Below are 16,987 nucleotides of genomic sequence, written 5' to 3'. Positions count from 1 at the left end.
GTTATAAATTGGATCCCCTCTCATATTCTCTAAGAGGCACATAGAAAGATTGGAATGATTTGAGGCTCTGGACTGTGTTTTCCTGATGAAATGTTGGGTCCAACTTGGATGCTAAGAGTTCTATACGGCTTAGAGAGGTTCCTGGTGTGCCTGTTAAATACCAACACTTTTCTGATGGCCTAGAGATGCTAAATCCCAAATGGTTGCTGTCCTTCTGGGCAGGACATTATTCATATTTATGCCTGGCACATAATAGGTGCTCAATAAATATTTCTAAAGTGAAATGAATGAATGAGTGCCAGCAGCCTCCCAAGGACACTGAAGGACACCAGGTGCTGGGGATGCAGTGGGAACAGGCAGGCGTGAGTAGAGATACTAATGGAAGAGACAGCCAGTAAATAAAGACAGAAGTTCATGATCTGGCCTCTTCTTGTCATCCCCACTGCAGCAGCCACATTGTCCCCTTACAGTCTATTCCCAGTGGAGCAGTCAGAGTCGTCCTTTGAAGACAAGGATCCAGTTGTGTGACTCCATGGCTCAAACTCCCTGATGGCCCCCACGTCCCTCAAGCCCCCATTGATCTGAGCCCCCGCTGGTTTCCCTTCTGACCACCCCTTAATTGATTCACTCCAGCCTCTAGACATGCACGTGCTCATGGCTCGCTCCCTCACCCCTTCACGTCTGCTCAGGTGGCACCTTCTCAGGAAGGGCCCTGAAAACCTACTTTAAAATTGCACCCCTCTCCTCCTTTCCTTCAGATCCCTCATCCTGCTCTGTTTGGAGTTTTTTCCATAGCATGTCTCTCCAATGTGTTATGTAGAAAACATTGCATTTATTGCTTTTCATCTGCCTCCTTCCACAAGGGCAGGGATTGGGGCCTGTTTTTCTTATCGATGCATCCTTAGTACCTTGAACTGTGCTTGCCCTCATAGAAAGGGGTGAAACATATTTGTTGAATGAATGCATGGATCCATATGTCATCACAATGCCAGGCTGGTCATTTCTGGGTTTTGCATGGGTTCCGCTGAGGGAGAGATATCCTCTGGCCATGAGGTCAGGGGCGGCTCCACAGAGAAGCTATGGAGGTTCAATCTGTTGGGCTCCCATTCCAGTTTTTATGTACCATGGCCCAAACCCACCCTCCCTGCCTACCATAAGTGCCACCCGTCTTGTAACAGGCCATCAAACCATGGGGGAAGCTCTGTAATTCTGTGCCCCTGAGTCAGCTCCTGGCCACTGCCCACCTCTCCAAACCTTCCCCTGTGTCCTCTACAGCTGCCCCTGCATGGCCAGCAAACTCCCCCAGATCTTGTGCCTCTCCTGAAACTCTCTGTGTCCTTGGTCCCAGTTGCTGCTCCAAGACTGTCACTCTTCTGTCCTCCTGTCAAAACCCTTCTCCTTGGGGGGCTGATGCATTTTGGCTATCCCATCCTTGTGGCTTGCCTTCTCTAAGGTCTCAATCATACTCCTTTAGTCAACACTTGGCGCTTGGCTCATGACTTCCTCTGTTTCCCAAGCCCTGCCATCATCTCAGGTGACTCGAGCATGCTTGGGAACAGTGCATCAACAACCTGGGCATTTACCCCTTGATCCCGCATGTCAGCAACCTTTGCTTCCTTCCCAGCTCAGCCTGCATTTCCACTCCCATGCCTTGAACTTCACATACCATCTGTGATGGGTCCATCTTCAAGACCACTCGCTCATTCCTAAAATTGCAACCTCCCAACACTTTCCAGCTTCCTTTCTTTGTTTTTTTTCCTTAGCACTTATCACCATCTGACATAATATATATCTTGCTTATTTATCTTGTTTAATGTGTCTCCCAACGCTCCAAGGTGTAATCCCTGTGAGGGCCAGGATTTTGTTTTAGTTTATTCACTGCTGTATCCACTGCCCACAGAGTAGTGCCAGGCACATAGCAGATGCTCAATAAGTATTTGCTGAATGGATGAAATACCACTGAGTGCTTTACATATATGATTTTCAGCATCTCTCGGAGGTGAGTACTCTTAGTATCCCTATTTGATAAATGAAAATACCAAGGCTCGAAGAGGTGAGGCAACTTGCCCATGGCCACACAGCCAGTAAACAATGACCTAAGAGTAAACCACAGCAGAAGGACCATGTGCTTAAACATGAGGGTACACTATCTCCTGTGCCGAGCTTCCCTCAAGCCTTGTCACCTCTGCCTGAGCGAGTCTTGCAATCCTCTCTTCTCTCTTCCCATTGCTGCTGCTTCACTGATCTCCCTTAGACTGTATCATCTCCTACCTGTTCCTTCAACCTCCAGGCTGTTTCCCTTCTGGTCCCCTCTGTCACCACACACACACACATGCACGCACGTGCACACACACACACACCTCCATTTTTCCTTAGCGTAATGGCTTCCCATTGATTTTGTCCAAAAGAGTAAGTCAAACATCTAGTGTGGCATTCAAGGCTCTCCCCATTGGGTCCTTGTCTCTCTCCAGTGCCACCGCCCTCCACGTTCTACATGCTTGCCTTCCTCCAAACACACTGACCCTCTCATCATGCCCTGAACACGTCAGGTTCTTTGCCTCCCTTTGCCTCTTTTGCCTTCAAAGTCTTGTTCCTCTTTCAAGGCTTAGATCCACCTCCTCCAGGAAGCCTTCTCCTTCTCTGACACTCCAGTCCATCAGACACGCTCTCCTCCGGGCTTGCATAGCCTTTGGGCCCTTGTCTATCACACCCCACATCCTGCGGCACTGTAACCACTCATCTGCAATGGCTTTAACTTCCCATGGGGCTGTGAGTTCTGAAAGAGCAATGGCTGCACCTCCTCCTTTGCCTTGTTCCAGCTCCCTGGACTGTGCTTGGTTTGGAGGAGGGGCTCTGAATAGGGGCATCTACCAGGTTCTAGTGCTTTACAGGCATTGCTAATACATCTACTCCCAATTTCCAGGTTCAGATGGAGGTCCAAAAGCCATCACACAGCCAGAAAGTGGCCAAGCTGAATGGAAACCAGCCCGGACTCCAAAGCCTGCTATTTCCCCTGCTCAGGCTGCTTCCCAGTTCGTGCTGAGCACAGGAGGGAAGAGATTGCTGGGGCCCTGCTGGCTTCAGCCATCACAAGGGAGGTGGAGGTGGCAGGGGGCTGTGTCAGGGCTCCTGGGGTCAAGGAGAAGGCCCTCATGCCCCTCTTGCTGGGGGATATTTGCTTTTCAGAAAGAGATTGGGAAGGCAGAAACTTGCCCATGGGGTAGTGGTTAGGGGTACCTAGGTCCCAGTCTCTGGCAAACTGCCTGAGGTTAGTGTCCCTGGGATGGCCACTTCCATAGTAATTGGCCCAGTCACTCTGCTGGGCTCTGCCACTCACATTTTGCGTATTCTTGAGCAAGTTACTTAACCTCCTTGTGCCTTAGCTTCCTCCAGGTCTGAGCTGGGAAGGTCCCATGGGCCTCTGCCTAGCATCTGCCTTAGTAACCCCTGACCCTGACTCTGATCTTACTGCTGAAATCTACCCTTTCCCTTGCATCTCCAGCACATTGTTGTCCCAGAAACATGTTCCTCCCACCTGCAAAGCCATTCTGGAAGCAACTCACCCTCATCCTGGCCTGATCCCTCCTAGATGCTTCTCCATAGAGTTGGGGTCCCCTACCTGTGTGGGCTCAGCCAGGCCTGGGCTAGATGAAGACTGTGAGCCCACAAGCAATTCTGGGCTTGCCACCTGCCCTCTTACCTGGGGCTAGGGGCCTTTGCTTCTTTTCTTATCTCCAGCCCCCTCTAGGAAGTCCTGCTTTCATGTCCCCTTTAGAAGCCCGTGCTCTAAGGGCCACCCAATCACCAATAGCACCAACACTCTTATCAAAGTGGGGCCAAGTCGGTAGGTTCTCTGGATCTGGTCTGATTGTCCTAACCTTCTAGAATTCTGGGCTTCTCGTATTCTGGTCTCTTTCCTCTAAACCTCCCCGCGTAGGCCTATATCCAGCCAACACGGGTAACAAATCCCTGACGGTGAGGCCAACCCTCACCCCATTTACCCCATGCTCCAGCCAGTCAAGACCTCTCGCTACGTCTCCAAACAAGGCTGACTTCTGCTACCGCTATCTCTTCTGGCACTGTGGGCTTTGCCAGGAATGCTGTCTCCACCTCTCCCTCCTTAGCCATCCTTCAAGGCCAGCTTCAATGCCACCACCTCCATGGAGCCTTCTCGGGGTCCTGCATTGCCTAAGATTGCCCCCTGCCACCAGCACAGTCAGCACCACTCACGTTATCTGTCTCATCATCCATGTGCCGTGTGTCCATTTAACAGAACTATATGGAGGACCTGCTCTGTGCCAGACACTGCTAGGCTGGGCTACCGCAATGACCAAGAAGTACAGGGCCCCTGCCCTCAGGCCTTGTGTCTTGTCCCCCACCCACCCCAACCAGGAGCAGTTAGCCCCCAGAACTTGAGGCAGGAGACTCTGTCTCTCCTCAGTGTCTGGCCCATAGTTGGTGCTCAACAATGAATGGATGGCATGTGCTCTATTGGTTGAATGAATGAGTCAGTGGCCAAATAAATAGAATGAAATGTGTCATGGGGTGGATATAGGACTTGGCTACAGGTTCGTCTGAAGAATCTAACAATGGGAGAAATTTATTTCAGCCCACAGCCCATGAGATTCTATCCTGGAGATAGCTGTAGTCTCCTTTGGTGGGGGCAGGGGGTTGGGGGAGTAGTCAAGGCACAGAATGCTCAGGCTTCTCGGTGCTTTATGTCCTCACACTGCCTGAGAGACCTGGAGTCCAGCCAGTTGAGATGTCCTGGACAGTCAGTCTGGACAGGAGGCTGGGGCCAAGCCACCACGGTGTCTGGGGCTTCCAGCTAGGAGACTGTTTGGGCCTGCTGAAGAAGGGAGAAATAGACACATCCACATTTGAAAAGATAAATGAGGGCCATCTATCTGGGCTAAGCGTGTGAAAAGATGCTTGTCGGATTAGATCAACGAGGAAGTGGTTTACATATACAGAAACTGCGCCATGCCTGTCCACTGGGGGCCCAGTAAGATTCCTGCGTTGGAGCCTCTGCTCACTGAGGGTCACTCAGAAATGCACCCACACATCGCTGGGAAAATTGGGCTGTATTACACAAATTCAGTGTACACCCACCTTTCTGGGGGCATGTTTGCAAGTTGAGCTCACCCAGCAGAGCTGCTAGCATCCCTGTGGCTCCGCTGAAAAGCACTAAGTAAATTCTCTATGTGGCTTCGAGCCTTGTCCCTGTCTCCAGCACACCGCTTCCCGTGTGCTGAGGGGCTCACCGGCTGGTGGCGCACAGGGAGAGCTGTTTTTGAATCCAGCCACTGCCCCTCTAGAGCTACTCCATTGCAGTGGGGCTTCTAGGGAGTTGAAGAGTAAATCCTTGTGCTGTGCCTGCCTGCAAAACCTTGAAGTGGTAAAATGACAGGCTTGGAAGTGAATTCCTGCCCCTGGAACCTGCCTTTCCTCTTCCTTCTCCAGTGGTCTCTCATTGGATGCTTCTTTGAAATTCAGTTTCACCCTCTGTATAGTGGGCGGGTAAAAATGTCTTCTCTTTCTTAGGGTTATTGAGAGGCTTGCAAGGGAGACACTGTCCTATAAAATGCTTGTCCCAGTTTCTGGTCCCCAGTAAATGTTGGCTATTGCTTTCATTCCCTTTTCTCTTTGGGTTATCCTTCCGGCTTCACTCTCCCACCCACTATGACTGCATCTGGGCATCTGAGTTTTGGCATTACCCCATGGGGGCTCTGGCCACCTACAGCCCTCAGACCTGCCACCCAGCCATCCCAGGGCCCCCTGCCTAGATGTTGGCTAAAGAATACATTCATTGCCTTCCCTTCTCTCTGAGGTCCCAGAGCAGTTTGGGCCAACCTGTGAGACTGCTTCCCCGTACACAATGCGCCCCCTCCACAGAGAGGCTTTGTGGGGTGGCAGAGGTCACTGCACTGGGAGTCAAAGTGCCCCCTGGCCTGAGGACAAGTCCTGCCACCAACTGCATGTGAACCCCAGACTGGGACCCTGCCATCACACATATGGTCTGGCTATACCTCTTGGGCCTGGACGGAGCACAGCTGGTGGGGCGTAAAGATTGGTGGGGTCTTAAGACCCTGGGGTAGGGGTCAAAACTGTACTTCTTCCTTGTTATGGTTCTTAGCACATGGAACGGTGCCTAAAACAGTTTTCAAAAAATATCAGCTAACACATATTGAGCCATGAGTAGATGCCAGGTGGCATTCTAAGTGCTTTTCATGAATTAGTTCTAGTAACCCTCAGGACAATCCTATCAAGAAGGCAAGGCTATTATCCCCATTTTGCAGAAGAGGAAACTGAAGCCCAGCGTGGTTACATTTCTTGGTCAAGGTAATACACTTGTAAGTGGTGGAGCTGGTGGTGGGATTTGGACTCCACCTTCAGAGATTCATCACCCTCTATACTTATTTGCTGAATGAATACATGAATGACCTGGAGAAGGTCCTTCCCACGGGGTCCCTCTGGGCTCTGGGTCCTGGCATCTTTATCTAACAACAAGAGGAGGTGCACCTTGAGAATTCATGCCACCCATCTCTTCAGATTGACAGTCCAGGGTCTCAGCTGCTCTGAGAGACAACCCACATCAGGACTGAAGATGTATACTCATTCCTCATGCACCCCGCCCAGTTGAAGGGATCTGTGTGTCTGACTACTTAGTCTCTTCTCAGAGGTGACACTGTTTCCTGAGTGCCAGAGGGATTTTCACACTGAATCCCCAGAAAGACCCTATGAAGCAGCTCATCCTCACTTTGCAGCAGAGGAAACCAAGACCTAGAAAGGTGAAGAAAACCTCAGGGTTACACAGTGAGTGGGTGTAGAGCCAGGATTTGAATCCAAGCATCTGGCCCCAGATCCTGGGTTGTTAATGGCGCCCCCCTGCTGCCTGCTCCTCTCCAGTGAGGTCCAGGTGCCCAGGCTGAGTTAGTGCACCTGCCAGCCAGCTGCTCTTACGCAGGGCCTGTGACCCTTCCACACCAACTGCGGCAAACCCCCAGGGCTCTACCTCTCACTGGCTTCTGCCCTTTTGCTGTGCTTTCTAGGAGTGGGGAGGCGGGGGTAGGAGTGGGGAAAGGAGACAGCATCTTCCCCATGTTTTGAGTGGAGACAGTAGATCAGTACCCTGGCTGTCTCTCCTACCAAGTCAGCACACTAGAGAAGACTCCCACTTCGAAGTCATTTCAACAAGATGCCACTGGAGGCCGAGCGTGGTGGCTCACGCCTGTAATCCCAGCACTCTGGGAGGCTGAGGTGCGTGGATCGCTTAAGTTCAGGAGTTTGAGGCCAGCCTGGCCAGCATGGTGAAACCCCGCCTTTACTAAAACTACAAAAATTAGCCAGGCAGGGCTTCAGGCGCCTGTAGTCCCAGCTACTTGGGAGGCTAAGGCACGAGAATCGCTTGAACCTGGGAAGTGGAGCTTGCGGTGAGCTAAGATCGCACTACTGCACTTCAGGCTGGGCAACAGAGTGAGACTCTGTCTCAAAAAACAAAAACAAAAACAAAACAAAAAACCAAAACTGGAGCACGAGGGACACACAAAGAGGCCTCAGAATGGACCTCATGGGGCATCTTACTGCAGGAAAACCTCAGGCAAGGTTGGTATTGCCCCTCTTCTTGGGCTCCAGCTGGTGCAGAACCAGCTGAAGGTTAAGAGGGAAGGGAGAGACAGTTGGAGAGGCTGCATTTAGGATACCGAGTTTCCCATTGCCAACCAGGTTTAAGGAGGCAGGGTTTTAGGGTTTAGAGGTTCCCGACACTTTGCACAAACTCCTCCATTGGGTCGTAGGCACTGTGCTAAGAAAGTTATGTGTATGATCACATGGATCCCTCATAACCCTGTAAGTGCAATCTTTCTTTCTTTTTACAGGGTGATCTGAGTGAACATAAGAGAGGTTAGTAAAACTGCCCAAGGTCATAAAGCTAGGAAGGGATGACTCTGGGAACTGAACTCCGGCCACTTCCATTCCAGTGCCTCTGCATTTACCACTGTGCCATAGCAAAATCCATGGTAACGGTATCCCACATCCACAGAAGCAAGAGAAAAGCCCTCTCTTTGAGAGTCCCAAGTACAACACAGGGTTGTCAGCAACACAGACTGAACCAACCAGGGACAAGGAAGCAGAGAGAGGAGGCCAGCTGCAGAGTCCCCCTCGTCAGCCAGCCTGGGCATCAGGAGCTCCTCAGGCTCTAGGAATTAGGCTCAAAGCCAGGCTTTGACTTGTAGCACTGGGTGACACAGGCAAGCTACTTCACCTCACTGACCTCAGTTTTCTGATCTATAAAAGGGCACAGAAGTAGAGCTCGCCTCACTGCCTCATGATGATGAGAAAGAGAACTGTGCATAAAGCGCCAGGCACAGTGCCTGGCTGACTGTGAAGGTGAGCTGGTGGCTTTGCCCTGTGTAGGGGAAGGTGGGATGTGGGGATAAAGCTAATCAAGGCCAGACTTCCTGATAGGCTTGTAAGGAATCTCTTAGAAATGGGGTATCTTAGAAAAGTCTTCAAGAATTCAAAGGAAAGGATTAAAAATGATGGAATTGTAAGCAGTGAAGAGACTGTAGCCCCTGACCAGCTTACCCTTTCAGATTCACCACTGAGACTGGGCAGGGTGGCTCATGCCTGTAATCCTACCATTTGGGAAGCTGAAGTGGAAGGACTGCTTGAGGCCAGGAGTTTGAGACCAGCCTGGGCAACATAGAGGGACCATTTCTACACATATACACAAAAATTAGCTAGGTGTGGTGGCACACCTGTAATCCCAGCTTCTTGGGAGGCTGAGGTAGGAGAATTGCCTGAGCCCAGGACTTCCAGGCTGCAGTGAGATATGATCATACCACTGTGCTCCAGCCTGGGAGACAGAGCAAGACTCTGTCCCCTGAACAAACAAAAAAAAAAAAAAAAAAAAAATCCACCACCGAGTCATGAAAGTAATCATAATGAGCCTCCATGCCTCATAGAAAGCAATTTATAATTAAAGCACTTTCACATCCATGAATTAATTAGGGCTCTATGAATAGGAGCAAAATACGGATTATTATCCCATTTTAAGGATCAGGAGGAGACTGAGGCTCAGAGGGGAAATAACACAAGAGGTTTGGAGCTCCCAGGGCAGAGCTTCCTCTGTGAATAGGGGACCTGCTGCTTTGCTGTGCTGAGGCTTGAGAGTGGCAGAGGCCAATCCTGCTGGCCACCAGGCATTCAGATCTGCTGGTCAGCACTGAGTGCTAGTTGTCAGAGAAAGAGGGCTAAGATCCTTGAAGGGACTCAACCCAAGATGACCTGTCCTTTCTCCCCTATTTCCTATAAGTATTCTGATCAAGGCTATGATGCCCCGCTCTTAAATAAGGCTGCATGTGATCTTCATGCCATTGTACAGATCTTCTGCCTTCTCCTCCTCTGGGTGCGTGGTAAGCTGCAGCTCCCAGCTTCCTTGAAGGCCTAGATGTGCCTCTGGCTTCAGCCAATGAAATGTGTGGAAGCGACGTGTGTCACTTCCAGGTGGAAGCTTTCAAAGCCAATGTGTGCTTGCCCATGTCATGTTCTCTGCCACAGCGATCATGGAGGAATGTGCCCCCAAGGAGCCTCCGTTAGAGGCACGGCCTACTTTGTACATGTGGCAAGAGCAGGAATTAAAACGTTGCTGCTTTTTTACTGCAGCGTAGCCTAATCTAATTGGCTAGTACAGCCATGAATGTTTGGGTCTTTGAGCAAAGGTGATGGTCCCAGGAATAGAATCCATGGTATCCAAAGGGAGTAAGAGGTGGAAGAAGGTGAGATTCTAGTGGGTCCACTAGAATATAAGCTCTAGGAAGACAGAGATCTTTGTATATTTTGTCAACAATTGTATTCCCAGTGCCTTAGAAGAGAGCCTGACAATCAGCAGGTGCTCATTAAATGCTGAATAAACTAATGAACGACCTGAGGCGAGGCAGGCAATGCAGAAGCAAGAGGCCTGAAAGGCAAAAGTGAATGGTTCTGGAAAGAACTCCATAGTCATTCATTCATAAACTCTACAAGCATTAAACACTCATCATGAGAGATCCCCATGTTAACCCAATAATTTGACCAGAAAAAGCCCACTGTAAGTGAATCCACTTAGAACAGGGACCAACGTGTCATAGGAAAGGGTGAATGAAGAAAAGATTTCAGTTGGGATTTCATTTTGAGAAATGAGACTAAAAATATGAAAATAGAATCTTATGTTGGACCAAAATAAGATTATAGTTACAACCATGTGCCAAAACTTTCAATCCTCAAAGGACAAATCAAATATTGATTGGTTTAGCAGGGCATGGTTTTCCTGAACAGAATTATATGCTAGCATGATATGACATTTTTAAAAAGGTCATATTTCACTGTCACAGCATAATGATTAAAGTTTCTTATCATGAACTCATTGTTGTGCATATTCTCTTCTGTCATTCTCTGGCCTAAATGCCAGGTTCTCATTTATCTATGGCCTTGTGTAGGACTAGGAGTCCTCCAATGTCCTCTTTTATTGGCCTCACTAACTCCCACAACTTTCACATGATGTCAGTTTCACCGTGCAATCCTTTGGCTTTGTATAATCAGCTGCTTACCCCACCTGACGGAGAAACTGATGGACATGGGTATTGGGTGAAGGGCAGGGATCAACGCTGGTTCTGAGCAAGAACAGACATTTATTCAGGGACTACTTTTGTAAGTGGACAGTCTATTCATGTTCTCTATTAGGGTGACATTTTAAAAAACCTACAACCTTGGCCGGGCATGGTGGCTCACGCCTGTAATCCCAGCACTTTGGGAGGCTGAGGTGGGCGGATCACCTGAGGTCAGGAGTTCGAGACCAGCCTGGCTAACATGGGAAAATTCTGTTTCTACTAAAAATAAAAAAATTAGCCAGGCTTGGTGGTGCACACGTGTAATCCCAGCTACTCAGGAGGCTGAGGCAGGAGAATCACTTGAACCTAGGAGGCGGAGGTTGCAGTGAGCTGAGATCGCACCATTGCACTCCAGCCTGGGCAACAAGAACAAAACTCCATCAAACAAACCAAACAACCTACAACCTCACATCTATGGGGTCACAGATAATGATTAAGCAGACTCCTCCATGGGGCCTGAATAAGGAAGGGGGGACACTACGGCGAACCAGGTAGACCCATCTCCTGCCCTCCAGCCACTCCCTCAATGGCCACATTCTAGGCTGGGTTGGGACCATCACTCCAGCTGCCTGCCCTGGCCCTGGGTCCTGTCTCTGTCTCCACAGTGGCACCCAGGGAAGGAACCTCTTGGCAGAGAGTCCTGTGCCCAGCAGTTTGATCCTCAGTGTGGTCATGGGAATAGGGAGAAGAGCTTTGTGCTGAGACACCCGGGGACCCTTGCCTTAGGAAGATTCACAAGGCACGATCTAGCAAAGGGTTTTCAGACTGGGGACTAGGATCCTTCCAGACCCCAGTGAGGATTCAAGAGGTGAGATTTCAATTTCTCAGGCTTGTTAATTTGTCTTCCTGAGATCTTGATCTGACCACAGTGCTTCCCTGCTCTGGGACTGTTCATAGTCTTAACTAAGCCTGACTTGCTCACGTCAAATTCAGCTCCGCCCCACAATCCCCCTTTGCAGCCTGATTCCATATTTCTCTTCCGCTCTGACTCTGTGTTCCAGACTAGAATATGTGCTCTTCCCCAGACCTCTGTGAGCCTCAACTTTGCACCCTTGTTTACGTTCCTCCCTCAACCCAGAGCCCTGTGATCCCATCTCTGTGTTTTGAAACCTACTCATCCTGCTGGGTCCCTTCAAACCCACCTCCTCCCTGAAGCCTTTCCCCACCCCTTTATCTAGGAGTGATTGCTCCCTCCTCTGGGCCCCTAGGATCCAGCTTTGCTCAGCTAAATCCTGCTGTAACAATCTCCATGCATGGAGCGGTCTTAAGTTCTCTTCTAGAGGGTGGCACTGCTGTTTGCTATAGCTAGCTCTTTGAGCTCTCCAAGGCTCAGTTTTATCACCTGTAAAGTAGAGATTAGTAAAACCTCATGGGAGGCCAGGCATGGTGGCTCACGCCTGTAATTCCAGCATTTTGGGAGGCTGAGGCGGGCAGATCACCTGAGGCTGGGAGTTTGAGACCAGCCAGACCAACATGGAGAAACCCCGTCTCTACTAAAAATACAAAATTAGCCTGGCGTGGTGGTGCATGCCTGTAATCTCAGCTACTTGGGAGGCTGGGGGTTTGAGACCAGCCAGACCAACATGGAGAAACCCCGTCTCTACTAAAAATACAAAATTAGCCTGGCGTGGTGGCGCATGCCTGTAATCCCAGCTACTTGGGAGGCTGAGGCAGGTGAATTGCTTGAACCTGGGAGGCGGAGGTTGCGGTGAGCCGAGATTATGCCATTGCACTCCAGCCTGGGCAACAAGAGTGAAACTCCGTCTCAAAAATAAATAAATAAATAAATAAATAAAACCCCATGGGTAAGGCACCAGGTAAGGGAATGACACAGGTAAGAAAGAAACTAGATAGTACTCTTTGTCCCTTTTTCCCCAACCCCCATGTCTAACTGTTCCTTCTCTGCTAGTTTTGCAGGCTCATCCTTGGGGCCAGGACTATAGAGAGGCAAGTGACCAGACGCCGAAGACAAAAATTCCTCCAGGTTCAAACTTGCCCTACCCTGCTTCGATGCATAAGCAGTTGACTCAATAAAGATGTGTCTCTGACCCAGCCCTTGCCTCTGTACCTCAAATCCAGGAGTTCTTCTCCTGAGTGTTATTTTGCATAAGCTTGGGTAATTGATGACCACTGGTCTCCCCACTTGAGACTGCAAGCCTCTTGAGGACAGAGACCCAACATCCCGCCCAGAGCCCGGCATGAAGTGGGTGCCCAGTGATCCAATGGTTTTCATTCCTTTCCCTATTTCCACCCTTTCTTGTCTGTTCATTCAAACTGACATTGATCGACGAAGACCTCCTGCCCCTCCCAGCGCTGCCTGCACTCACACTCCAGTCACGTGGGAAACACTTCCCTGCTCCTCTCTGTCCACCCACGTAGCCACATCCATCCATTGCTTCCTCCAAATCCCCACTCTAGTGTCACCTCCTTCAGGAAGCCTGCCTAGCCCCACACAGAATACCGCTGATCCCAATCCCCTCTCCCTAAGGAATCCAGGAACCCAGAGGGTTTCATAGGATGAAAAGACTTGTGCACCCCTGGTGACCTGGAGTCATACTCAGTCCAGTGACCCCACTGGGCTGTTCCCAGTTCCCCCAGGGATGTCTGTCAGCTTCCTGTTTAGGTGACCCTCTTCTTGGCCTTGCTCAAGCCCCTTCCCAGGCTGACTGGAGTAAGGACGCCTGTGAGACCACGAGAAACCTGTGTCTGTATAGCCTGGTCATTGGTCACTGGAGGTTGTGTTGTAGAGGGAACCATCGGGGTACTGAGAGAAACCCAGGTAGGTATTTAGCAGAGAGGACAACCGGTATCCGAAAAGGAGCCCAGGCCAGTGGCCTGGAGGAGTGCTGCCCCTGAGTCCCTGGGTGCCTCTTCCACTGCCCTCCTTTCCTCAGAGCTGTCCCTTGTCCCCATGGAGCTGGCCTCTCACAGAGCCATAACCAGCATTCGCATCATTGGTAACAAGAGGTCAGTGAAGGTGCTGGCTCGGAGCAGAGCCTGGAGCAAAGCCGCAATGAGTGAGACAGAGGAAGCACAAAAGTGCTTCTTCCCTCTGGGCCCAGGGGCTGCCAGGTGAGTAGGGGCCACAGGGATGGCTGAGTGGGTGTCCTAGCTCCTTGGAACAGAACACTGGTGTCATCACCCTGGGTGGGGCTGCCTGTCCTCTACCTCCTCCTCCCAGCTAGGACAACTTTGCTAACAGCCTAATCGCCAGTGTCTAGAGCACCTTCTGAGAGCTGTGTCTGGCCCAGATCTGGGGCTGGTCTTCACCCCATTTTCTGTGAGGTCACAGATCCTGAGTTTCCTAATCCCTGAAGCTGAGGAGGCTGCTCAGAGCCTGAGCCATTTCCAGGTCAGGAGCCTTGGCACATCTCAAGCCAGCAAGGCAGTGGGGTCTGCAGGCCACCCACCCGGGCACAGTGACCACCAGCCCTGCACCATCACCTGGATGGGGCTGGATTGGAGACAACTGAAGCACTATCCCTGCAGACAGATGCCAGCCAAGGCTGGGTGATGAGGGCCCCACAGCCACATATCAGACTTTGGGGACCCTGCCCAGCAACCTTTGGGTCAAGTTCAACTCACAATTCTCTGCATGTGCACACGTGTGCACACACACACACACGCATGCCACTGCACTCTTAAATCCCTGCACAGCAGCAAACACAGGGTGTCCCCCACATGCACCCACAAACACGTAAACACATTTATATACACACACAGACCCACTTACCAACTCATGTAGTTCCCCGATACACGTCCCTACCCTCCAGGTAATCCCCTTACACACACATGCCCTAATATACCTTTCCAGAGCATATGCCTGCATGCATCACACGCACACACATGCACATGTGCTCAGCCCCACCGGCCAACCCAGCTGACCACAGAGCCTCGTGGCCTCACCACCTCTTCCCAGGAGCAGGAGGACCAGAGCTCATCTAGACCCCTTTGAGCCTCGTCCAGTCCCCATGAGCTGGCTGGGTTTAGACAGGTGAGCCCAGGGAAGGGGCTGCGCCTCAGCAGAGAAGACTTACTTCCTAAGTCTAAAAAAAAAAAGAAGGAAGGAGGTAAGGGAGGACAGGAGGGGGGGAGGAAAGAAAGAGAGAGAGAGAAAGAAAGAGAGGGAAAGAAAAGAGAAAGAGAGACAGAGGGAAAGAAAAAGAAAAAAAGAAAAAAGAAAGAGAGAAAAAGAAAGAAAAAGCAAAAGAAGGAACGGGGTTAGTGGGAGAGGCAGGATGGTGTGACGCCTGTTGCTCTTCAGAAGGGAGGAGGGAAAGGTTCTGGCCCCCGCCCCACAGGCCTCCTTCTGCTGCTGTGGTGCCGGCGGCGGGAGCATGGGGTGGAACTGTTGGGGCTGCCGCAGACGTTATGGTGGAACTTCCAGCGGAGGCTTGATGCGTTAGCAGGCGCCACACTGCACCCGCTGCTGAGTTCCTCTCCACTAGCCGCCTCCTTCTGCCCGAGGACCTTTTCTCCTTCCCCTCTTACCTTGCAGGAGACACGGGGCTCAGGAAAGGGTGTGCCCTTGGCCGGTGGCTCTGGGGATGGTCACAAGCTGCGGGGCATCCGAAGGGCAGCAGGCATGAGCCCGGCTGCCGGGGTGGGCACCCTGCAGAGCTCCTGACTGCCCCAGAGCTCTGGAGGACAAATGAGGGATGATGGGGGACTGACCAGGAAGTGGTGGAAACAGGTGGCAGGGACGGAAGGTTGAGAGAGGGAGGAAGGAGGCAGAGAGAAGAGAGAGACAGAGACACAGAGAGAAGGAGACGCAGACTCACACAGAGAAAAAAGAGAAACAGACACAGAAAGCAAACGAGAAAGAGAAGAGGGAGCAGGAGAAGGGGTGGGGAGGGAGAGAAATAGAGGAGACAGAAAGAGAGAGAGAGAGAGAGAGAGAGAGAAAGAAAGAAAGAAAGAAAGAGAGAGAGAGAGCTGGACCTGAGTAGCAACATGTGGCCATGCTCCCTCACTTCTTATGCTGAAGCATCCTGGGCTCCTCCCCATGGTGCCTGCACACAGTGTACACACCCTGACACACATGCCCATAGACACACAAACTCACCACACACACACACACACACATACACACACACACTCATGCATGCCCTTGCCCACCCAGAGCAGCCCCCTTGTCCAGCCTCTCCTCCTGACACAAGTGGGGCCAGCCCTTACCTTACCCCAGAAGCAACACGTGTCTGGGTACACACTCTGTCTCTCCACTGCCACAGTGACTGCCTTCTGCACCCAGCACTGCTGGAGGTGCGGTCCGGGGCTGGGCTCCAGTGCCCAAGCCCTGCGCCCGCTGCCCTGGCAGCTGGCTTGATCAATGCCCACATTGCGATAGCTGTTTAGGTGGCCTGCAGGAGGCCGAGCCATTTGTTTTGTCAGAGCGTAACCATGACAATCACCCCATACGCACACACCGCTGGTGCTGTTTCCCCACCCCTCGCCCTTCCCTCCCCCCTTCTCCGGAGCACAGGAGAAAGCTGGAGGCCACTTAGCAGCCTCAGCTAATCCCTGCTGAGGCTGAAGGAAAGGGCCTGGCCTGTGATAACAGTCCTTCGGGCAGCTCCTCCCTGGGGAGTGGGGCTGCCTCCAGGGTATTTCAACACTGTGCAGAGTCTGCCTGGGCCAGGGGTACCTACTGCCTGTGCAGGAGCTGGCCCCTCTATATCTCCCTGCCCCCCAGCAAGTTTATTTTTTAGCCAAGTGTTACAAGCTGCCAATCCATTCTCCCCCATGAGGCCACGGTGTAGTGAACAGACAGTATTGGTGACCGTGGTCATGGGCAGGTCCTCTGCCGGGGCCTTTGGCCATGCCTATTCACCCTTAGAGTCCCAAGCCATCCCTTGCTGCTCCTGGCCATGCCAAAGCCACACGGGAAATTGCTAGGATTCTAGGTGCAGCCCCTGGGGGCATCAGACTGGAGGTCTGGCCTTTGGAGATACAAAGTTGCGTAGCCCAGAGAGCCAGGGGCTTGCTATAATCAAGGAAGCCAGTGGCCAGCTGGGTTAGGACTGCAAAATCTAAATTCAGAGCCTAGAGTTAAAGAGTTCAAAGTTGAAAGATGCTTCAGAGGTACAGGATGAAGCAAATGATCACACATCTCATTTAAGCCTTATAAAAATCCTCAAGAAGAGGGCCTTTCTTCCAAGTTTACAGAGAAATTGTGATTTGGAGAGGCAGAGTGACTTGCTGAAGGTACAGAGCCATGAAATGACAGAGCAGGGATTCAAATTCACAGTGATCCCAACACCGGAAACTCCACCATATCTTATTGGCTTTTTATAGCTGTCACTGTGAGCTGGGCACCGCACACATAGCCTGGAAGAAGT

The 16,987-nt window shown here is 51.2% G+C and overlaps 1 protein-coding gene across 11 annotated transcripts in view, besides 2 other annotated features; it reads right to left on the bottom strand.

The window, feature by feature from the left end:
• VWA5B1 (von Willebrand factor A domain containing 5B1) overlaps positions 1-16,038 on the bottom strand; it is a 68,644-nt gene extending 52,606 nt beyond the window's left edge. For 6 of the 11 annotated variants that reach the window (XM_011540683.3, XM_011540688.3, XM_011540691.3 and 3 more), the window contains exon 1: positions 3,701-4,019. The gene's annotated coding sequence lies outside the window, so the exon portion shown is untranslated. Of the gene's footprint in view, positions 1-3,563; positions 4,020-15,140; positions 15,630-15,824 lie in introns of those variants that run through there. The other 5 variants (NM_001039500.3, NM_001377531.1, XM_047445799.1 and 2 more) reach the window with 3 other exon arrangements.
• Positions 15,635-16,145: an enhancer, noted in NCBI's record as "H3K4me1 hESC enhancer chr1:20617261-20617771 (GRCh37/hg19 assembly coordinates)". NCBI's record gives its function as "activates a minimal SCP1, AML or CMV promoter by ChIP-STARR-seq in naive H9 embryonic stem cells {active_cell/tissue: H9 hESC(naive)}" and the evidence as "EXISTENCE:reporter gene assay evidence [ECO:0000049][PMID:30033119]".
• Positions 16,146-16,657: an enhancer, noted in NCBI's record as "H3K4me1 hESC enhancer chr1:20616749-20617260 (GRCh37/hg19 assembly coordinates)". NCBI's record gives its function as "activates a minimal SCP1, AML or CMV promoter by ChIP-STARR-seq in naive H9 embryonic stem cells {active_cell/tissue: H9 hESC(naive)}" and the evidence as "EXISTENCE:reporter gene assay evidence [ECO:0000049][PMID:30033119]".

Source organism: Homo sapiens, chromosome 1 (assembly GCF_000001405.40).
Source record: "Homo sapiens chromosome 1, GRCh38.p14 Primary Assembly".
Lineage (NCBI taxonomy): Eukaryota > Metazoa > Chordata > Mammalia > Primates > Hominidae > Homo > Homo sapiens.
The sequence above is the reverse complement of the archived record's forward strand: the minus strand, read 5'-3'. Positions and strand labels throughout refer to the sequence as shown.